Here is a 23,694-nt window from a genome sequence, read left to right as displayed (position 1 = left end):
ACCCTCCAGTGTTGCTGGCAGATGAGTAGGGTCAACAAAGGGCCTCTGGGAAGACACAGCAGGTGAGAGTTCAAAGCACCCCTGACTGTGTGTGAGCCCACCTGCATGTGGATTTATCTTCCACAGACTGTCCTGCAGTGGTGCTCTTTTTCATGGGACATGGGAAGCTGCTTTCTTTTTATATTGCATTCAGATTCTGACATCAAAACTTGAATGGAAGTTCTTGATCTGGGAATCCCTGCCCACAGCCCTAGACCTGAGTGCATGGGAAGCTCTGTGCTGGGCTTGGCCATCACACTGCATCATCTCTCTCCCACTGCCCCTAGGAAATTTGGCCTCAGGTCTGTCCTGAAGCAGCAGCCCTGGGGTATGACCATCTGTGAGGCTGGCAGACTAGGGAATCCTCTGGGAGGGGGACCCTCCCTAAATTTAGACTCTTTTGTCAAGTGCAGGCACTCTCTTAAACTTAGACAGCTTGATGCTTGTTTCCTAAGGGTGTAGACAACAAGGCTACCTGAAGAGCTTCAACATTTGGCCCTGGATTGTGGCTACAACCATCTGTCTGACATAGTGGCACTCCTCCCAGCCATACTGAGGGAGCACTTCCTAAGTTTCTCATCTTTATGGCCTCAGAATTCAGCCATTCCGTACTGTCTTGCCTCTGTCTTTGTATATATTTATTCCCTCTTAGAACACTTTCTACTTGTAGTCTTTGATTCAACACACATTCACCCAACTAGCTTGGCACTTCTCTGGGCACCAAACCTGGTTTAGGTCCCATTTGTCCTTTGGGCCTTGCCCATCATTTAATTCCATCTACTTTGATTACTTTTCTCTCCCTTTTCCATCCTTTTCCTTTTTCTCCCAACCCTGAATTAGAGGCTCCTCCTCTGATGGCTTAGAACCTGTTGCAAATTCTTCTCACAGCAGTTACCCCAGGTATTGCAGTTGCTTCCTGGACCAGTTTCCTTTCCGACCTTATGATTTATTATTATTTATTTATTTATTTATTTATTTATCTATTTATTTTTTGAGACAGAGTCTCGCTGTACTGCCCAGGCTGGAGTGCAGTGGTGTGATCTCGGCTCACTGCAACCTCCGCCTCCTGAGTTCAAGCAATTCTCCTGCCTCAGCCTCCTGAGTAGCTGAGATTATAGGCACGTGCCACCATGCCTGGCTAATTTTTGTATTTTTAGTAGAGGTGAGGTTTTGCCACGTTGGCCAGGCTGGTCTCGAATTCCTGACCTCAAGTGATCCACTCGCATCGGCCTCCCAAAGTGTGACCTTACAATTCTTGAGAGGGCAAAGATAGCCTCTGGTTCATCTTTGCATTCAGCACCTACAATACTATCCACACATACTAACTGTTCAATAAAATGCACTAAATGAATGAATAAATGCATGATCATTTTTATGTATTTTACAAATACAAAATACAAAATCCTGGTGAAGAATTGGCTAAGAAGATATTTTTGGGACTGGGAAAACAAGCAAGAGCTGGTTTAGTATGATTTTCATTGTAACCTGACCTTGAGGCTCTAGGCTGAGTAAACAAAAGATGAGAGACAAAATATTGGATTTAAGAAATGTAATTGTCTCCATGTTTAAAATTTTAAAAATCTGATGCTATTTGACTCACAGAGGGAAAACAAAAGTGTTGCTATGAGAGAGCTGTGAATTTTATCTCATCTCCGGGGCAACAGAGTGAATAATTTTATGGAGAGAAGGGGAGAAATTAAGACAAGAGTCTCACAACGCAAATTCAGTGTTCCAACCAAAAGTCATTTAAAGAACAAAACAGAACAAAACAAATGTTCCAAAACCACAAGGGTAGGTATCAAAACCCAAATAAAAGGAAATGAGGCAGATTCCCGATACAAAATCTTCTGTGGTGGAGGCTAAGATGGCGAAACAATGGAAATTTTATGAGCATCAGCTTTGTCGAGGCACAGCAATGCAGATCTTGTGATGCTGACAGCAAGGAAGAAATTGCAAGTCAGAAGGAACTGTAAGTGTGAACCACCTCCCAAGGCCAAGTGGGAAACACAACCAGCCCCACGTGGTGTATGAAGGAATATGATTAGGGGATTTCCCTGAAAAAGGCTGGCCGGGAGGACTGCCCCTCACCTCTTGCTATCGTTCTCTGGCCTGGAGTGTTCTCACGTCATCTCCATCAGGAAAAAGTTTCAAGTCTGTTTTTCAGTGGGGTTGATTCCCTCCTGGTTCCGGCATTCTGCAAATTAGTTCGTTGTCATGGGGACAACATTTAGACAATTTGTCTGCACAGGGCCTCGTTAAGTGGGCAGAAGAGGACTGAGAGAAGTATCCACTTCGGCTTGCAAGCGCCTCCGGGGTGGGAAAGCTGTCACTGTGTGCGTGGGCGGTAGCCATGGTGGGTTGTCACAAGGCTTCCTGAGTCCGGCCTTATCCATTCATTCTTTTTTCTCTCCATCTACTCAGAATACAGTGTGCATTGCTTCATATGTGTGCCCATGATGTGCGACTTCAACAGCGATGTCTCTGACTTCCTGGACTCTCAGGATCCTCTTGCAGTGTCCAGGCTCCCCACGCTTGGTCAGTACATTCCCACAACAGACCACAGTGGTTGTTTCTGTTTCCAGCATTTCATGTTTAGAATGTGGAAGATGTGAGCTTCTCCTTACTGCTGATGGCATCCATCGTGAGCTCTCCAATTGCCTTGAGCCCTCTGGGCAGTGCCATCTGCAGGAGTGTCCACAGCGCCAAGCCTAGCAGTTGAATGGCCAGCACCCCAAGTCATGTAGTGGGTGTAAACAGGTGCATGCTTATGGCACTAGTGTACAAGCCACTGGGGAAAATAGCCCACAGGGCACGTGCATTTTACAGCATGTATGCCATGTGAAGCCATTCTCAGGGCCTCACCATGAACAGTATGTGAAATAAAGCATCATGCAGATTTGGAGGCAACTGATCACATTTAACACAGAGAGCAACATCTACTCAGAGGGTATTCTGGGATCATTTAGCACCCCCAAAATGATTCTGGAGGCAAAGAGTATTGCATATCTCAATAGCCACCGAAGGCCTTGTTCTGTTTCCAGAGGTACAAATATTGGTGATCAAAACAATACCAATACGTCACCAAGAAAAGCTAGATATGTATGCATATATACATGCATGCACACACATATATATAGATTCTAAGGTGATGAGTGTATAGTAATATTTCAGGAAGATTTCCTACTGACTTGATAACATAAAACAGGGGAAAACATCAATTTTGTGGAAAATGAAGTTCTGTGAACTATGACTTTCTAGTACAATGTCATAAGAATTAAGAGTTCTTATGCATGGATTTCACAGAAACACTGCTAGAGTGGGAGGGATTTTTCAATCCTCTGTTATGGCGGTTTAAAAATAATTATCAGCCTTAGAACCCTTTTTACAATAGGATCTTGTGCAGGAACCCCATCTATATGTGAAAACCCTTCTCTCTCTTGTGGGGAAGGAGCTGTAAGAATGGTGGTTCCAGGTTCGAGTGTTGTATTCGTTAGCTCAGGCTGCTGTAACTAAGTGCCACAGAGTGGATAGCTTAAACAATAGAAATTTATTTCTCATAGTTCTGGAGGCTAGAATTCCAAGATCAAGGTGCCAGCATGGTTTCTGGTGAGGGCCCACTTCCTGGCTCATAGATGGCCTCCTGTCTGCATCCTCACATGTCAGGTAGAGAGAGAGAGACAGCAAGCTCTCTCGCGTCTCTTCTTATAAGGGCACGAACTTCATCACAAGGACCTTATCTAAACCAAAGGAACTTCCAAAGGCCCTGTCTCCAAATACCATCCCATTGGGGGTTGGGGCTTCAACATATGAATTTTGGGGGAACATAATTCAGTGCACAGCAGATGTGGAAGCTGAGATCTACGGAGATCCTGTGGCTCATCTAAGCAGAGGGGGACTTGTTCCTAGGTCTGATAGCATCTAATCCAGGGCTCCTTGCCTTCTAATGCACAGCTTTGACCTCCAGAACCACCCTGGGTCCTGCCTCCTTAGTCTCTTTTGTCCTTGTGAGAGCTGGGTGGGTTTAAGAAAGTATTGGAAAAGGAGGCTGCCTTTCCCAAACATTATCAGGAGCAATATTAATAATTATATTAGACACAGCCCTCATTTATAGACCCCTGACTCAAGTCAGTGCCGTTCTAAGTTCACATATAATATTTCATTTGCCCCTCACAATGATTCTAGGGAAACGTATTCTCTCTTTTCTACTTTACAGAGCGAGTACAGAGGCATCATGCAAGGTCACACAGCTATAAGTGGCACAGCTGGGGACTCACCCGGGCTGTCTGGCTCCCGAGTTTATGCTCTTAATCAGTACCACCTTAGGGATGGGATGGTCAACAACACAATCAGGAGGTGGGTGAGGGTCAGCCCTCCCCTGAGCTGGGTGCACTGGAATACACCTACCATCCCCTGGTCAGGGCTCAGGCCAGCACATGGGGCTGATTTTGTGAAAAGTTGTAAGCATAAGCAAATAATGGGTGTTTGCCAAGTTGAAGACAGGCATAGAATTGAATCTTCTGTCTCTCCTAATGTCAAATAATGAAGTAGACAGTCGTATTCTTGGCATATTATGAATTTCTTGTTTTCTAGTTGGACAGAGATCAAGGGTCTCTTGGTTTAGAATCACAGGACCAAGGGATAATGCAAGGCCTGTTAAGACCTTTTGGTGCCATTGGCCAGGACCACATGGAGCAGGGGGTCATTTTGGTATTAAACAGTGACTGCTGGTCTATCCTCTAGGGGGTGATAATCTCCCCTTCCTCTTCTTGATGGACATTTATTCAATAGTCACCAAGGAGATTCAGCAATCTGGGTGTCCTACAGCCTAGATATGCTGTCCTGTGTTGTTGAGGTTTATGCCTGGACTTTGATTGATGCCAGCCCCTCCAAAGGCTCTTTCCACAGCTGTTGCTTCTGGTTGGATGGTGCACTCACTGTGCTCAGCACCTCAGGAAGGGATTGAGGGTTGTGAATAGTGGAGATGTGTAGGGAGAGTAGGGAATATGTTTCACTGCCAATATACAAGCAGTATATCAGATTTGGGAATTCTACTGGCAAGGGTTGAGTCTTTGCTTGTCACCGGGCTAAAAGTTGCTTCACCTTTCCAAACATCAGCTTCCTCACTTACCAAGTATAACCACTGCATTGCAAGTTGTTGTCTCGATTAATTGAAGATGCTTGCCATACAGTAGGGACTCAACCATGTTAGCTTCTCCCCCCAGATGCTAGGGGCTGTGTGCTTTCATGGAAAGAAATGCTTCTGCTAGACTTAATTGACATCATCTTTGGTGGGTCTTTTCTTTGCTTCTGACCACACGTCTTTTAAACTTGAGATGCTTTTATGCTTCCGGGTAACAAGCAAAAGTCAGGCCAAGGAGGAAGCAAAACTAGGATTTATTGGTGGGGGGTCATGGAATAGGGATGTTAGAGATTAGCAGAAAAGAACTGCAATGATTTAAAAAGGCAAAAAAAAAAAAAAAAAAAGAATATCCTGGAAAGAAATAATTACATTTAAGTTGATTTCATTGTATCAAGTCTTAGAGTGCTTTTAAAATTATGGTTTTATGTCATGTTCTCAAGTGCAGCCTCAATGAAGAATCAGTCTCCCAGAAAGATTCAAACAGTTGAAATAGGGGAATTAGAAGATGAAGACCTTAAAAAAATCACCCACCAGCATGGGGATGAGGAGAGAGAAGCATCTTCACAGGCTCAGAATCCTATTTGATCCCAGATTCTTCCCCAAGTCAATATTCATTTAACACACTTGTCCCAGGGGACAGAGCTGGTTAACAGGAAATGTGCCCTTGAAGAGTTAAAAAATTATCTTACTCTTCTTCCCTGCAGATTTTAGTTTTCCCACCAACTGTTTAGTAGCAAGGAGCAACTGATGCGTTATGCTGTGTCTTTCCTATGGGAACACGCAGTTTGGTGGCAAAGAAACAGAGTAAAAAAAAAAAAAAAGTTACCCAAGTGGAATTGACAAGGGTGAAGGGATTCTGATTGGCCAATGTAGAATGTTAGAAAGTTATTCATGGAGACAAAGCACACAGATTTAATTTAATATTGATTTCAGCTTCAGGAGGAAAAAACTGCTCTTGCAGCTGAGCGTGGTGTCATGCAGAAATCTGTTTTTTCATTAGGAGCAGGACTCTCTTCTCCTCCCCATAGCCTCCCCACATGCATATCTCTTACACTGGTGGCATTTTGAGGGGCTGTTTTTTCACCCCAAGGGCAATGGAGGGCAGCACATATAGTGCATTCCGTCCAAGTCACCCCTGGAGAGTGACCAGGAAATCCCACACAGAGCAATTCCCTGAATCAGATGTTTTGCTATCTTATAGCCTAGGTTTGTTAGGATTTTCTCTAACAAGCCTAGAGCCTGTTCTTAAAATGACTTTTAATAACCATCACTCTGGTTTTGCCTCCTTGACACAAGGGGGTTTAAAAATAACCAGTGTTAGGATCAGACACCAGGTTCACTATCACTCTGGTACCCATTTCTGGTGCATGTTTTCCTTTTAAGCCATGAAGAAAATGACATCATTCAGGGCCCTGGCTGCTGTGTGTGGTGTCTTCCTGTATCTCCGAGCACAAACACTCACCCATTCATCCCCTGGCTGCCTGACCACCTGAAAACGTGACTGATACAGAAATAGTGCCAGGCAAGGAACAGGTGGGTGAGCTGAGCTTGGGGTCCTGCCAGCCCTCCCATCGTGGAATAAGAAATCTTGCGAATAAACACCGTATGATTTAATTGAATCTGAGCGAGAAGATAGGGTTTTTACAGAAACTAATTATGGCAGGCAGCTAGGCATATTAGTGCAGTAAATCTCGCTGATGTCAAGCCCTGGAGCTGCTGCTGTGTGGTGTTATTTTCTCTCTTTCTCTCTCTCTCTTCCTTTGCTCCTCAGTTTCTTTCATTCAATCTCTCTCCACTTTCTTTCACCTCTCTGCCTTCTTCTTGGCATGCTTAGATTTCAAATGGGGGGACAGCACCCGTAGCCCACTGATTTCCCTGTATCAGGTCGATAAACATATATGGTTCTGTGTGTGTAAAAGTGTGTGCATGTGGTTGTGTTTTGTCCTCTCTGCCTGTAATGGGAATGACAATTCAAGATAGAAATGGTATAATGAGTCATCTATAGCAGGCAGGGGTGGGGGAAAGTGGTGGGTACAAAAATGATTCAGACAAACTCTCTGCCTTCTTATCATTGGTGACATGGGGGCGGGGGCAGTGGTTATGAAAAGGGGAAGAAGAAAGTTATGTAAACAGCTGTCTTGGAAACATCAGGCAGAATGAGGTACAGTCGCCATGAGACTGCAGAGAGAGGGGTTTTAATGTTGACTACAAGATCTGGATCTAGCGTCATTAAGCTCCTTTCCTTCAAGGCCGCTTTCTGTTTCACTTAGGAACAGAACACTTGACTAAGGACTATAAGTAAATAAACTCGTAAATGCACTTTTTATTTCCTTAAAAAGTCTGGATGTAAGTGGCCCCGGAGTTTGTTGGCTGACTTGGTTATCTTTCCAGGCTTTCCCAGCCTCTCCATTGCCATGCTCCATGCTGCTGGCTTTTGTCCTCATGCTTCTTGGTTTTAGGGTGCTTATTGGTGGTTTCCGTCCTTGCATGAGCATCATAAGGGCAAATCTTCTCTTTATTAGGCTCTAGATTTTTATTTTTTAAGAAACAAAAGTCTTTTCTAAAGCCCTCAATACTTTTTTTTTATATTTCCTTCTCAGTCCATTTGGTCTACTATAACAAAATACTGTAGAGTGGGTAATTTATAAACAACAGAAATGTATTGGTAAGAAGGGAGGCTGGGAAATCTAAGATCAAGGAACCAGCAGATTTGGTGTGTGGTGAGGGTGCGTTTCCAGGTTCATAGATGGCGCCATCTTGCTGTGCCGTTACATGGTGGAAGGGGCAAGGTGGCTCTCTGGGGCCTCTTTTGTAAGGACACTAATCTCATTCATGAGGGTTCCACGCTTATGACCTAATCACCTCCCAAAGGCCTCACCTTCTAATACCACCACCTTGGTGATAAGATTTCAACATATGAATTTTGGTTTGGACAAAAACTTTCAGTTCATAGCAGTAAGTATCTAGCAAAGGGGAATGAAAGAGAGCCATGATTCCTTTCTTAGGGATGGTTGCATTGTCACCCTATTAAAATTAAGATTCTCCCATATATATCATGTTTTGTCCTATACATACATATATACCTAGAATATAGTTTAGTTTATAAATTAGACACAGGAAGAGATTAACAACAACTAATAATAAAATAGAACAGTTACAACAATATGCCAGCCTCACTATTCTTGTACTTTGGGGCCATTATTAAGTAAAATAAAAGTTACTTGAATACAAGCACGGTGATGTGACATTGGATCTGATAACTGAGTGACTAATGGGTGGGCAGCATACATAGTGTGGATACACCCTGGACAAAATAGTGATTCACGTTCCTGGGGGGATGGAGCAGGATGGTGTGAGATTTCATCACGACACTCAGAGTGTCATGCGATTTAAAACTTATGAGTTATTTATTTCTGGAATTTTTCATTTAATATATTTGGACCATAGTTGACCATGGGTAACTAACATGCAAGAATAAAGGGAGACTACTGTATACCCATGCTCATAGAAGCATTATTCACAATAGCCAAAAAGTGGAAGCAAGCCAGGTGCCCATAAAGGAAGGAGCAGATAAGCAAAATATGGTCTATACATACAATGAAACATTATTAAACCTTAGAAAGGGAGGGAATTCTGACACATGCTACAACATGAATAAATTTTAAGGACATTATACTAAGTGAAATCAGTCTGTTACAAAAAGAAAAATGCTGTACGATTCCGCTTACATGAGGTACATAGTCACACTCATAGAGACAGAAAGTAAAATGGTGCATTCCAGGGGCTGGAGATATAGGGGAAATGAGGAGTTATTGTTTAATGAACACAAGGTTTCAGTTTTGTGAGACTCAAATTGAGTTCTAGAGATGGGTGGTGGGACAAATAAACGAACAAAAGTAAAAAAAAATTGAGATTCTGTGAGAAAGGGGGAAGGAGACTGGGAATGGCAGTTGAGTTGGCCAACCAATGGCGCCTGTCACACTTCCACGAGCATGTTTGAGAAAGCGGGTATTTGTCTCCCATCAGCTGCTGGTCTACACTCTCCACCCCCACCCCCAGCAGATGCTCCTCTCATAAGTGCCCTTCACAGCCACTGGCTTTGCAGTGGGTCACCACGAGAATCCTTCAACGGCAGGTCCCTTGACACAGTATTGCTTCCTCCACACAAGCCTCCACGTAAGATTTCAGATTAGACAGACCTGGGTTCCAGTCTTGCCCCAGACTTACCACTCATTAGCACTGTGGCCTTGGGCAAGCTACTTACCTGCTCAGGCAGTAAAAATGCACATAATAGTTTGGATCTCATTGAGTTATTGTGAGGATTAAATAATGAATGTAAACTGCTTAGCACTGTGCCTGACCCAGAGGGGTGCTCAATGAATGGCAGTTTTCTCTTGTAGCTGATATTTGTTGAGCACTTATTATATGCCTGGCACAACACTAGGTGTTTCATACAAAGTAACTCATTTAATCTTCAAAACAACTCAGTGAGGCCCTTCACAGCTGAAGGAATGAAAAGTAAATTTCTCCAAGATTCCAGAGAGTGTCAGAAGCAGAATTAAGATAGAATCCAGGCTGGTGGTTCAAAGCCTGGCACTTAACCACGGTGTGATACTTCCTCCCACACGTGATATTTCCCCCCCTGGAAATGGGCACATGCCCAGCTAGGACAAAGCTTCCCATTGGGCAGTAGACATTAGACAGCAGGCAGCCTGAATGAACCACAAGCTGTGTGGACGTGGAGAAGGGTAAGCTCCTCAAGGGGGTGAGGGCTGTGTCCTGTCTGAGAAGGGGACCCAGCAGGAGAACAGGGTCCCGCGGGGAATAAGGGGCAGCAGTGCTCAGCACCCCAGTCTTTACCCCATGGCAGGACTTCCTTCTGTGGGGCTAGTTAGCCCCACTGCAGGGCTAACCACCCACTGTGAGGTTGGCCACTCTCATGGTGCCTTAGAGTATCGGGCTCCTTATGCAAGGAGGCTGCTGGCTTCAGAGAATCAGCAATCAGAAGCCTCCGGCTCCCAACAAAGATCCTGAGAAGTACATTATTTTCCAGTGGGAACCACTGACATATCAAAATCATCAGTGTTAGACTGCAGCAGCATGACATCATTTGATATTCTCCCTGGAGTACAGTTTTTCTGATGGATATGAGACAAAATGGTATTTCATGGAGCTTAGGCCACTCTTCCTCTTGCTTCTGAAAAGCCTACACAGGGCATATTCACTGATTCCAACCAAAGGACACAGGCAGCAGTTTCAAAACTGTGGTGCCCCATGGAGCTCGTAGGCTGAAGCACCTTTTGCTCTGACATCCCAGAAAGCCAGTGAGAGGAAGTAACAGGATGGAAAATGAATTCCCTGCTTTGCTGGCTGTCCTAAGTTTCAGGAATTTCAGTTTGGATTTTGGATGGTGCTATTTCTTTCCTAAAGAAACCATGCATTCCGAACACCAGCGCCTACATTAATATACATGCTGTGAAAAGAGACAAATCAATCACAACCAGGCTGGAAAGGTATTGTATGAGCATTTAACATTCTTTAAATTTTTAAATTCTTTAATGGGATTACGCCAGAACCCATGAGGTAGGATGGGGGATGGTGGGATGGTGCAGGTAATTTAACAACGGTACTTGGAAGGGAGAAACTCCTCGGCACACTCCCTCACCCCTTTTGTTGTTTTGCTGCCTCTGGATTTTGTCAATAACATAAAATTGGGTACTACAAGAAGACTTTCTCCCTCATTGAGTTAAAGATGCGCACCCGCAAAAACAGACCAGAAAGTTTAGACAGCTCAGTGGCCATCGGCCTGCCTCGAAATATAGGCTCTGCATTGCATATATGAACGGCATGTGGAATTTTTATATGCCAGGCATTGAATCAGGTGCTTACTTAGGCCTATCTGAGCATTGCTGAACTCTAGTTAATGGCAAGTTTTCCATTTTAAAAGTGATTTATCTTGCATGACTTCACAATAACTTTGGATGGAACTAGGGTAAGGAAGACTTCATTGTTATCCCAATTTTACAGGAAAAACCTGGGCTCAGAACAACTAAATGACTTGTGGTAGGGGTAGGATTCTGCCTCCTGTCTCTGGAATGCAAATCCTACCAGACCACAGTGCATTTCTATTCATGATTGGAAACTCTCCTTCAGCCTGTCAAAGATGTAGGGACGTGTGCATTCCCAATGTATCAGGAAGGTGTTGTCCAGCAGGAACAAGGATGGAGACGTGAATGGTTTGAGTCACAAACTTGCTGCCTCCATAGGGTCCGGGTTGCCCTTAGATTCACTGGGGTTTGGGAATATGGTAGCTTATTAGGAGGGTTGGAGTAGGTTCATATTCTAGAATCATAGCCATAGAATTTGAAAACTGGAAGGAACTTCAGACGTTTCCCAGGCTAGCTATCACAAAGGCAGGAAATGAGACTCAGAGGTTAATTGACTGACCCAAGGCCACACAGCTAGTATAGAGCGAGCACCTGAGCTGAGCTCAGATAAATCTTCAGGTGCCTGGTCCAGGGCACTTTTCTCTATTCCTCACTGCCTCATGTATTGGTTTCTTTCTGCTGGCTGTCATTTGTGGGCCAATGAAATGATTGAAAGGAGGCAATAGGACATGGTGGTTAGGAGCATGGCCTTTGGAGTAGGCAAGACCCAAATTTGCATTCTGTCTCAGTTGTACAATCGCTGTGGACCAAGTGGCATGTTGAAGGCAGGAAGAAGCGGGAGTGGTAGAGTCAGGCCAGCCAACACTGTCCTTTTTCCTCAAGAAGGGAAAATTCATTCTGGAAGCTGCACACAGGAGTCTTCTGCTTATATTCCAGAATGGGGTACACTGCCCTTGCGTTGTGCTGAACCCCTGTTAACCTCAATAGGGAAGGCACCAGTTTCAAGAAGGCCGAAGAAGAGACCTAGAGCCAGCAGACGAGACATAGGGTTTGATTAAGGGCTCACATACAGGGGAGGGAATCCAGTGGCAGCAGGCTGGAGGGGAGAACCACCTTCCGTATTGGAAGAGTCCAGTGGCAGTGGACTGGACAGCATAACTGCACAGCCCAGTGGTGGCAGTCTGGGCAGGAAAACTGCAACCACTTGCAAACAGCATATGGTTCACATGGCATTTTCAGTTAACACCCTCCCACCAATGACCTCCACCTGGTAACCTTCACTTAGCCCAAAATGCAGGACCTCAATCACCTGCATGGCCCATGTTCCACGGGACAGGCCGAGGGCTCAGAAGTTTATCATAGACAAGGAATGAATCTCTGGGTTGGCCACTCCCAGATTCCCTAGCACAAAACACACATTCAGATGCATCTGCCAAATGGGGTCATTCCAAGAATGTGCTTAAATTATTGCTGTTAGGTGACTACACCTTGCTTAGCTGCAAGGGAAAATGCACCATTAAACTCAGGCCTCTGTAGTAGGCAGCAATGGAGTAGAAGGAGTTGGAACCCATCGTATAGGGGTCAGCCAAGTGTCTGCCTCAGATCACGCTCTGAACTTCAGGAAGTAGGAGGATGGGCTGTAGTCCATAGCTTAGCCCTATATGTTGGAAAAGGTAATCCAGAGAGGCGGGATGGTAGTGAGAGGCGCAGGATTGAGTTCCTAAAAGCCTGACGGGATTCTTCCTTCCACCTGACCATTCTGTCTTCATTTCCCAGGACCACCTGTGGAATAACAGTAATAGTCTTTCTCTGGGAGCAAGTTAAGGCTTTGGGGAAGAGAAAATGAGGTCATGGTTATTGAAATATAAAAACTTTCCTGAAATACAAAATTTTCTACTACCACCCAAATATCACCCCGGGGGTTTCCTACTCCTTAAGAACCAGATAAAATGAGCTCAAGTCTTTATTTCTTGGTGCTCTTAAAGCTGTCTCCAGAATGTCTTCATAGAAGAAGGAGGTTTGTGTTCTCATAGCCACTCCAGCATGCAGTTCCATTTGGGCTGCCTGTGAGTTCAGTCCCTGTTTTCCCCCAGTTGGCCCAGACATGGATCTCAGGGTTGTTTTTTTTAAATTTCCACCAACCTCTCTCCAAGTTCTGGGTATGTGCATTTTACTAAGAAATGAGTCTAGGGCTGGGCCAGCTGACATCAAAGTCAAGGTAAATTCAATGGAGGAAAGCAAACCGGATGCACCATTGTTCTTTCGATAGTGTAGTTAGATCTTTTAATTGTATTTTCCCTTTCTGGGCAGGCTGACTCCATTTTACAAAGACTCTGTGTCATTGTGTGATGCTGAGTTCTCAGAGCAGAGTGGGTGTTTAATAAATTAGGTAAGAACAAGGAGGACGCTCTTCAGTCTGGAAGCAACCACTCAAATATTTGAGACCTTTTGAGAAAGTTTGGGGAATACGAAGAACAACCTCTTTTGGTAAACCAGGGTTTAAAATGGCATTTTCTTCTTGAAGCTTTCACTTTCTCATGTGAAAATGTTTCTTATTGTTATCTTGGTGAAGGGAATAGTTTTCACTGTGGAACTCTAGTCACCTCCCATGGGTCAGTGGGATTTTGCTCTCTGTGTGCATATATATACATATATATATGTATTTAAACGTTTGCCTGTAACTTATCTCTTCCTACCACCCCAGCCACCTACCAGTATTCTTCGCAGGCTCTTTGTGCTGCATTCCTGAGTTTGCCTTGGAGAAAGCAGTTCCAGGATCTTAGGCCATAAGTAAGGACATTGAATGTTTTTTTCTTTTCCAGTGAGGAATTTCTCTGGGTCCAGAGCGTCCCCATATCCTTACTGTGGCTCAGTTTCCTTCGGTGAAGAGTGGAATTGTCAATATTCCGATGGCTTAATGCCCTGAAGACTCTCTGATGGTCAATTTTCAGGCAGTTTGTGTAGGAAACATGGCCTGGCAATGGCCTCAGGAAGCCTGGCTGTGATTTCCAAAGATGCTGTGATCAGATCGAACACGGAGATAATTTCACTGCTGATGGAATAGAGAAAATATCTTTCTAGGACCAGAATGGGAAAGGAACTTGTGTCAGACCACTCTAGGTGATGGGTCAGATTATTTAATAGATCTATCAGCTCATCACTGAAGGCCCTCATAGATTTTAGCTGTATTTCTTTGTCAGGGCAAAGGATGAGGGAGGATGGCTGGGAGGAGCTTAAGTACTTTCACCTGTGTTAATGTTTCCTCCTTCTGTGCTGAAATGTAAGACCCCCTCCTTGGAGGAATCAGAAGTGGAAGCAATAGTTAGGTTTGATAGCTCATCACTCTGCAGGTGGGAGCAGAGGCGACAGGGAGAAATCAAGTTGGGCCATGAGGAGATGAGAAGAGATTTATTCAAGATGTTTATTACCATGTGTGGAACTGATTTCCAGAAAGTTGCTTTGCATGATCTTCTTGAAGGGTATGTTAAACAACTGCTTTATTCAAATAATGCCCCCAAATAATTTCCATCAGTGGGTGATGAGAAACTGAGCTTTGCATGACATTCTTCCTCTAAAGAAAGAACCTACCCCAAACCTATTTTCTGATGAAGAAACTGAAGTTTAAGAAGACATTTGTGTTGAGCATGGTGGCTCACACAAGTAATCCCAGCAGTTTGGGAGGCCAAGGCAGAGGATTGCTTGAGGACTGGAGCTCAAGACCGGCCTTGGCAACATGGTGAGACTCCATCTCTCTCTCTACACACACACACACATACACACACACACACACAGATACACACACACATGCTGGGCATGGTGGTATGCACCTGTAGTCCCAGCTACTTGAGAGGCTGAGGTGGAAGGATCACTTGAACCCAGGAAGCAGAGGTTGCAGTCAGCTATGATCTCACTACTGTGCTCCAGCCTCCATGACAGGGCGAGACTCCATCTTGAAAAAATAAAAAATATAAAAAAGAAGACATTTGTTTATACAACAGAACAAGAGCTGAGAGAACCACTTAAATCATGTTAAGACAATTATTGTTCTCCTCCCTCAGTGGCTGGGGGTGGGGGGACCTTGAGGGTGGGTGACAGAGCCAGGCTGATTGTCTCATTTTGGTGTCTCAGTGAGTGGCCTAGGCCAAACTGTCACTGTAGCAGAATAGATGTCCCTAACAGTCCAATTTTTCCAGATGAATTTCTTCCCATTCCAACCACATGAACTATTTATTATATCATTCTCCAAATAGGGCATTTTCTTTGCTGTTTTTGTGCCTTTGCTTATTCTCTCTGCCTGCAATTCCCTTCCTCATTTTCTCCTCTGGGTAAGCCCCTATTCGAGACCCTTGTCAGAGGACACCCCATGTAGGGAGCCTTTGTTGATGCCTTAGCCACTTCCCAATGTCTTCATCATAGCCCCACAGAGTTCACCACCCTGAGAATTGCCAATATCTGATCGGGTGTCTCCATCTCTCCCTGTCCTATGTGCACAGCCTGAGGATAGTGACCTGGGCCTTTTCCTCTCTGTAGACTTGTGCCTCAAAAGTGCCTGACACCAAAAATGTTTGTTGGATTCATTATTCCATCACTCAATCCCGCCATTCCCAAAGCTGGGAAAAAGCACCAGTGGCATAACAACTCCCAGAGAAACCTGGATCAATTCACTCTCATGCTTAGCCTCTTGAGAGGGTTGCAAGGAGTTCACTCAAGCAAACCCGAAGCTGCTGAGTGTGCTTGAGGAGAGCTCAGGTGGCTGGAATTTTATGTTCAGATTGTACTGTATTGACTATCAACATGTACCAGCCCTTCCCAGCCACCATCTCATTGAACTGTCACAACAGCACTGTGAAATAGGTGCTACTCTCCTTCCTTTACATTTGAGGAACTGAGGGAAAGTGAGATAATGAACTTGGCTCAGGTATGTCATAGAGCTCCTGAATCCTACTGCTGAATATGGATCTGGCCTGGGACATCGTATTTATTTATTTATTTTTTGTATTTTTTAGTGGAGATGGGGTTTCACCGTGTTAGCCAGGATGGTCTCGATCTCCTGACCTTCTGATCCACCCACCTCGGCCTCCCAAAGTGCTGGGATTACAGGCATGAGCCACCGCGCCCGGCCATATTTATAGTAATAAATATTTGTACACAGGCTCCCCAAAATGGCAAAGCTAGATATGGCTCTTGGTCAACTGAAGGCTACAGTGGTGCTATTGACTGTTGAGTTGTACTGCCCTTTAATGCATCCACCATGGCACACCATAAGTGGTATGGAGATGGCAGGTGGAGAAGGCTGGGCAGTGGTGACTCTGCTGGGGCTAAGCCTTGTTTTCACCTCCAGGCTTAGAGTAAGACTCCTAAATGGGTTCAGGCTTGGAGGCATGGACCGGGGTTGAGTGTTCAGGCAATCTATTTGGAAAGACACCCAAGGACCTCCCAGGACAAGGGTATCTGTAATGTCTACAAGCAGCAGTGTCATTGTTGAAGACAGTTTTGATGGGCTACACACACACACACACACACATACACACACACACACATTTCCCCAAACAATTGCTTGTTGGAGACCAGGCAAGTATCAAGGGGAAAGGTCCTGGGTAGGGCCTGACAAGAGGCAGCACAGCTGACTCCAAAACAACACCAGTAGGAGGAAGCCCCTGGGGCCAAATGCTGGGCTCCTGCCCTGTGTTTACTGAGAGTTCTGAGCAGGAGTTTGGGGTGGGAGGGGAGGCTTCTAGCTGTTCTTCACCACCCCTAGGCCATGGTCAGAGCCTGGGATTTGTCTGGGCTTTGCAACCCCAGAGGGTTTTGCTGCTTTCTCCAGACCAGAGCTGCCAGGAGGCCCCAGAAAATGCTTGAGAACAAAGAGGCAATAAACACATGCTGAAACCTTTTACCAGCTGGCTCTGTCCCAAACCAAATGAGAAATGAATTTCTGGAGTAAGAAAGAGAGAGAGTCTTAAAGTTAACCGGAAAGAAAAACCCTGTTTTAGCTGGGAATGTTCAGTTGGGATTATGCAAAGTTGTCAAATCAATACAGCAAATCTAATTTCTGCAAATGGATCCCCCGAAAAAATTGACCTAATAAGCTATTAAATCTTAGCACCTGATGTTTTCGTAAGTATAACATTACTGGGGGGAAAGACAAAGTGTTCGTTCATCCTGAGAATTTTTGTTTTGTTTTGTTTTGTTTACATTTATTTATTTATTGAAACAAGTTCTTGCTCTGTCACCCAGGCTGGAGTGCAGTGGCATGATCATGGCCCACTGCAGTCTCGACCTCCTGGGCTCAAGTGATCCTTCTGTCTCAGCCTCCTGAGTAGCTGGGACTGCAGGCTTGCATCACCACGTCCAGCTAATTTAAAAATAATTTCTTTTTGTAGAGAAGGGATCTCACTGTGTTACCCAGGCTGGTCTTGAACTGCTGGGCTCAAGCAATTCTTCTACCTAGGCCTCTCAAAGTTCTGGGATTACAGGTGTGAGCCACTGTGGCCAGCTGAGAATGTGCTTTTTGAATAGGGAAGGCCAGCATTATCATCATCATCCTTTACTAAGTATCATTTATAAATGAGGCAATCTACTGGAAGCTTACAGATAGTATCCATAATTTTTATACCAGCATTGCTGGGTTGCTATCCTTGCCCACATTTTACAGAACAAAGTTGTGTTCAGATTACATAAGTAACTTGTTGAAGGTCATGCGGCTGGAATTTGACTTCATCTTTCAGATTCCAAAATCCATGCTATTTCTGCAGCTCTTCTCTATATGCAAATATTTTTTATTACAAATGCAATGTCCCAAGCCAGATTCAGCAGTAGAATATGAGAATGACTGTTTTCTCAATGTATTGGTTTTTAATAGAGAACTTTAGGTGGGTGTGCAGTTACTTAAACAGTGCATCCAGGAGAGAGAGAATGGATTCCATTGCTGGTTCTTAATGACTTTTTCTGTTCTCTTTGGTAAAATAAATATGAGGCTATGTGCCCTTACATCCTATTTTATAAGACTTGGTGAATCCATGTCTGTAAGTTGTTTCTGATACCTTAGAAACAGGTATTCACACATTTTGCTAGTTGTTGTTTTGATTGTTTGCTCAGTTTTTGATTAAAGCTAGACCATATGTACTTTGTTTTTCATTGAGCTGAAGCTTTTGGAGGGGTCTAGGTGAGAGGCCTTATCTGTGAGCCGGTATGAGCTTTAGGGATGGTGTGATTCACCGCCTGAAGAGGTTGGCCTGGCTCACCACCTGGAAACCTCTTGGAGGCCTTCTTCCAAGAAGGGGCTTGATACTACAGAATCATCAGGGTGTCTAGGACGTTACATGTTCCATTCTTGTAGGAAGGAGATCAACCAGGGAAAGTGTCCAAATATAATGTGGCTCTTTTGGTATCACGGATGAGTCTGAACACTTCATATAAAACCGTGATAATAAAACCAAGCACCTTATACACATCTGGCCTTTTAAGAAAACAAGTCAAACCAAGCAACAACCAACCACCAAAAATCCTTTCAGGACTTTTTTTTTTTTTTTTTTTGGAGATGGAATCACGCTCTGGCTGGAGAGCAGTGGCGTGATCTCGGCTCACTGCAACCTCTGCCTCCCAGGTTCAAGGAATTCTCCTGCCTCAGCCTCCCAAGTAGCTGGGACTATAGGCGCATGCTGCCATGCATGGCTAATTTTTTGTATTTTAGTAGAGATGGGGTTTCACCATGTTGCCAAGGCTGGCCTCGAACTCCTGACCTCAGGCAATCCACCCACCTTGGCCTCCCAAAGTGCTGGGATTACAGGCATGAGCCACCGTGCCTGGCCTCTTTCAGGACTTTTCTAACATGATTATTTGAGTGAAATAATTTTCAGGTATATATGTTACATCGCTGAATATCTATCTGCCAATCCTCTGTGAGGACATAGAAAAAGCACAATCTCTATGGAGCCCAAAATAGGTAACATTAACTAGCACTGCTTTAAAGACATTTACACAAACCAACAATTCTTACGACAATCCTATTAATATAGCCTTTTCAGGATGAGGAAACTCAGCAAAGAGATGGTAAATAACTCACACATGAGACAGTTCACAGCCTCCACTGTTCATACTTGGTTCATGTATGATTCATTTATTGGTTCAATAAATATTTATTGGCTGCTCTGTCTAGGTGCTGTTCTAGGCACTGGCTGTGCAGCAGTGAACAGACCTATGGCAAATCCCTGAACACATGGAGCTTACGTTTGAGTGGGAGGCGACTCTCAGAATGCAAATTTTATATGTAGCGTGACATCAATGCCTTCTCTATCAGTCCCTTTTGCATTACTATAAAGAAATACCTGAGACTGGGCAATTTATAAAGAAAAGAGGCTTATTTGGCTTATGGTTCTGCAGGCTGTACAAGCATGGCACCCCAATCTGCTTGGCTTCTGGTGAGGTCTCAGGGAGCTTTTACTCATGGCAGAAGGTGAAGGGGGAGCGGGCATGTCACATGGCGAAGGAGGGAGCAAGAGAGAAGAGGAGGAGATGTCAAGCACTTTAAACAACCAACTCTGACATGAACTAATAGAGAACTCACTTATCACCAAGGGGATGGCACCAAGCCATTCATGATGGATCTGCCCCCATGACCCGAACACCTCCTACTAGGCCCCACCTCCAACATTTGGAATTACATTTCAGTATGAAACTTGGAGGGAGACACACATCTAAACTATATCACCTTCTGAAGCACCTAGCTGGCAAAGGCTGTTTTTTGTTGTTTTTTTTTTTTTTTTTTTGCAGTGGGTGTGTGCTTTAGTGAGTTAATTTTACACCATTGAGTTCCATAGTAACAGACATTGGGTTGCTGTCTTATACCTCACGTGCATCCATGTGAGGGGGTGTTTGAGAACTGTGGGTTCTTTTTAAAGATTATGAAACGATCGGTCCCTTGCTAATTAAGACGTTTTGCCTAATGGGGCAAAAACTGTATTTCATTTGGGGCAGGGGAGGGTCTCAGCAAGGAAGAAAGCCGGAAGCTGAGCTCTCAGTGTGGACTTTTTGGTTCAGTCCTTCTGTCCACACTGCAGGCTGCTTTGCTTCTCTTGGATTTGTGCTGCTTAGGTATGAGCTGCATTCAATGGAGGATGAGAAACGTGCGGAGGCTGGCTCTCTAAGCATCCAAACACCTCTCCCCCTTTGATGTTAGCTCCCAGCACTTCTTGCCATCATAGCAGCAAAGACCATGGGCTCCTTTTCTTTTCTTTCTTTCTTTCTTTTTTTTTTTTTTGAGGCGGAGTCTCCCTCTGTTGCCTGGATGGAGTGCCGTGGCACGATCTCGGCTCACCACAACCTCTGTCTCCTGGGTTCAAGCGATTCTCCTGCCTCAGCCTCCCAAGTAGCTAGAATTACACGTGCCCACTACCACATCTAGCTAATTTTTGTGTGTTTAGTAGAGATGGGGTTTCACCATGTTGGCCAGGCTGGTCTCAAACTCCCGACTTTAAGTGATCTGCTGCCTTGGCCTCCCAAAGTGCTGGGATTACAGGCGTGAGCCACCGCACCCGGTCCATGGGCACCTTTTCTTATGCCCAACTTCTGAAATAACTGGCTTACTTAAAGGCTTGCCAAATGTAGAATGGATAAGTGAAAACATCCCAAGACCAAGACTCATGATAACTAGTTTCTGGTCTTAACTCTAAGAATAAGTAGCTGGAAACTTGGTCAGCACTCAGGGTTTCTGGGCCTCCATATCCTTGTTTTTGAGATGAGAAAGTAAAATCGCAGGTCCCTTCAAACTCAGACCACTGCATATTGTCTCTGCTCCAGGAATTCTTATTTGTAATAATAATAGCTTGTAACTTACATTGTACTTCTGCCTCATAGTGAATCCTAAATGGTAAACCACAAACAGAATCAACCCTGACTTCCTATAGAGCGCCAAGGAGCTGAGAGGTCTCTCTGTCAGGAAAGAGGAAAATTCTATTATTGTTATTGTTATGATTATCAATCATTTATTGGACAACTTGGAATATTCCAGGCACTGTGCTAAATGCTTTATGTATATTATTTCCTTTGATGTTTCAACAATACTGTGGTTTGGTACTTTAATTTTCCTCATTTTATAAACAAGTAAACCAAAGGTCAGAAAGGTTAATCAACTTATCCAGGCTCACATGCTAACAAGTGGTAGAGAGGGATCAAAACCAGGTTTGTGTGGTTTCAAAATCTGTATTTCAGAAAAGATATGTCAAATAGGTATTTACTCTGCACCCAAATGGCGTGTGTGTGTGTGTGTGTGTGTGTGTGTGTGTGTGTGTGTGTGCAGGTATATGAAGGTATTGCTGTCTTGCTGTGAGAGCACTTCTTTTTCCTTTTATCTGCCTCAATTCTGCAGTGGGAAGTCTGTCCATTCCATGGAGATTATCAGCTGAAACAAGGCTGTTTCCCGTCAGACCTGCTTAAGCCATGTCAAGGTGTAAGAGTAACTGGATGCTTTACGTAAACAAAAGGACAAATGAAGGCCAAGCTGGAGTCTCACCTACCTGACTTTTACAGCAGTAAGAGCCTTAATAGGGGCATCAGCGATCTTTATATAAAAACCTAAAATGATTCGCAAAGGGGAAACTGGGATTGTTGGGATTGTTAAAACTTTTGATGACTTTTGTGACCATTAATTACAGTTGCTGAAATGCCTTTCCATAAAGAAGACAACTTCATTCAACTCTTCAATCTCAAGATTACAGCCATTTTCTGCACAGAGAAGGGTACACACTGAGGCATCCACAAGACCTTGATTTCAAACAAATTTGTCTTCCTTTCAGTTAACACTAACAAAGCTACCATTGATGGAAACTAAAGGCATTAAAACCCAGAGCACATCCCCCAGCATGAGAAAATGAATCAGACGATGACCGCTTTGAGAAATGGGCTCTGTGCTGGGACACACTGGGCTGTCTCCTCAGTACAGTCCCAGGCAGGACTTCATTATAAACCGCAGCCCCACCTCACACAGCGCCTCCTCAGCATGACTCACTCACAAAATCATCCCTGCTGGTGGGATGGCCGGCCTCTAACGATGGATTTGCTGTGCTGTTTCATGGAAAACAACAACAACAACAACAAAAAACACACCATAAACCAAAGACTTAATGTCCAGCTGGTGGCTGGGACACCTTGGTGAAGAGGACCCAGTAAACTCAGGGAGGCTAGTGGTGCTGTTTGTGTCTCATGTGGCCCACACCAGCCCACTGGCTGTTCACAATACATTCATCTAGTGTTACTTCAGGGGGCCTCCAGGCCGACCTCCTAACTGAAAACATCATAGACCTTTCACGCAAGTGTTCAACGTGCTGGTGTTTACTCCTGCTGCTGGGCATTCAAAACAACTGCTGATCCCTCATGTTCTCCTTACCTTTGTTCCCCTCCTTGCGAGTTGGGTGTAGGCCCCAATCAGCCTCTGCAGGCCTCTCTGAACCTCATGGTCTGAGTTTGAGGGGACCCAAGAGCTTGCCTTCTTATTTTACAGATGGGGATACAGAGGCCCAGAGACTCTGTGCACCTTGTCAAGGTCCCAGCGCTAAGTCTAGAAACTAGCTGTCATGTCATATCCCTTGGTCTCGGGATATTTTCACTTATCCATTCAACACGTGACAAGCATTTCAATAAGCCAGCTCTTTGAGGAGCTGGGAACAGGGAGATGAAATGGGCCTCTGCCCTGAGCAGCCCCTGGTCTTTGATGTTATGATGGCAAGAAGCACTGGGAGCTAACATCAAAGGGAGAGAGGCCTTCGGATGCTTAGAAAGAGTCTCCCCACAGTTGCTATCCTCCTCTGAATGCGGCTCAAACCAAATCAGCACAAATCCGCTAAATAAAACCACTGGAAAACAAGGTCAAAGTGACAGAGGCCAAGAGCACCAACAAAAGTGCCTTCTTATCCATCTTGGAGCCAAGCTGAAGAGCGGCCCCAAGTGACCAACGGTGGGACTCACGGCTGGGCCTTGTCCCCCCACCCCAGCACAGCCTTGGATGAATCACACACCAGAGAACAACAGGGCTATTTCTCACCAGTCATTTGTCAAGCTGACATCCCTGCCTAGAGTTATTTAGGGCTTTCTAAAGACACTTCTTTCCCTCCCTGCCGCAGGAAGCACCTGCACGGCTGTTGAGTTGTGGTTTTGCTCAATAGCGCTTTGATATCCCTTAAGGCCTTCATCAATTACTCTTCTGTCCCTGATGGGTTGGACTTTGGCTGAGGCAAAGACAGGGAAGCTTAGAGAGGATGATGGAGAGGAAGAGGATGGTGAGTTCCTCTGAGATCTGAGGCCAGCCACTGTCTGGAGGTGGGCTCTTATTGATTTCTGTGGGGGAACCTTCAGGAGAGGACAGTCTGAGTTCTTGGCCAGCTGGACTTGGACCATAACTGCCATGTTCCCATGAGGACAGGTCCCCCTCCTGGAACAGAGCTATGCTCCTGCCAGCTACTTAGAGGAAAAGAGCAGGCCTGTCAGATGAGTGTGACTGGAGCAAACCTGGTCTTCCGATTCAGCTAAATGACATAAGGCAGAGGGGACTTGGAGCGGGATCAGGGAAGAAAAACGGAAATAATGAGAAGACTCAGTGAATGGATCTCTGAAAGCAGTTAGGAGAATTTGAGT

The 23,694-nt window shown here is 44.7% G+C and overlaps 2 annotated features.

Moving 5' to 3' along the window:
- Positions 1,635-2,834: an enhancer, noted in NCBI's record as "BRD4-independent group 4 enhancer chr13:44837776-44838975 (GRCh37/hg19 assembly coordinates)". NCBI's record gives its function as "activates an origin of replication core promoter dependent on BRD2, P300/CBP, MED14 and CDK7 cofactors, and independent of BRD4, by STARR-seq in HCT116 cells {active_cell/tissue: HCT116}" and the evidence as "EXISTENCE:reporter gene assay evidence [ECO:0000049][PMID:35650434]".
- Positions 16,218-16,394: a silencer, noted in NCBI's record as "fragment chr13:44824216-44824392 (GRCh37/hg19 assembly coordinates)". NCBI's record gives its function as "represses an EF-1alpha promoter that drives an FKBP-Casp9 reporter gene in an ReSE screen in phorbol 12-myristate 13-acetate-treated (for megakaryocytic differentiation) K562 erythroleukemia cells {active_cell/tissue: K562(+PMA)}" and the evidence as "EXISTENCE:reporter gene assay evidence [ECO:0000049][PMID:32094911]".

Source organism: Homo sapiens, chromosome 13 (assembly GCF_000001405.40).
Source record: "Homo sapiens chromosome 13, GRCh38.p14 Primary Assembly".
In the NCBI taxonomy this organism is placed as follows: domain Eukaryota; kingdom Metazoa; phylum Chordata; class Mammalia; order Primates; family Hominidae; genus Homo; species Homo sapiens.
Note: the sequence above shows the minus strand (reverse complement) of the source record. Positions and strands in the feature narration are given on the sequence as shown.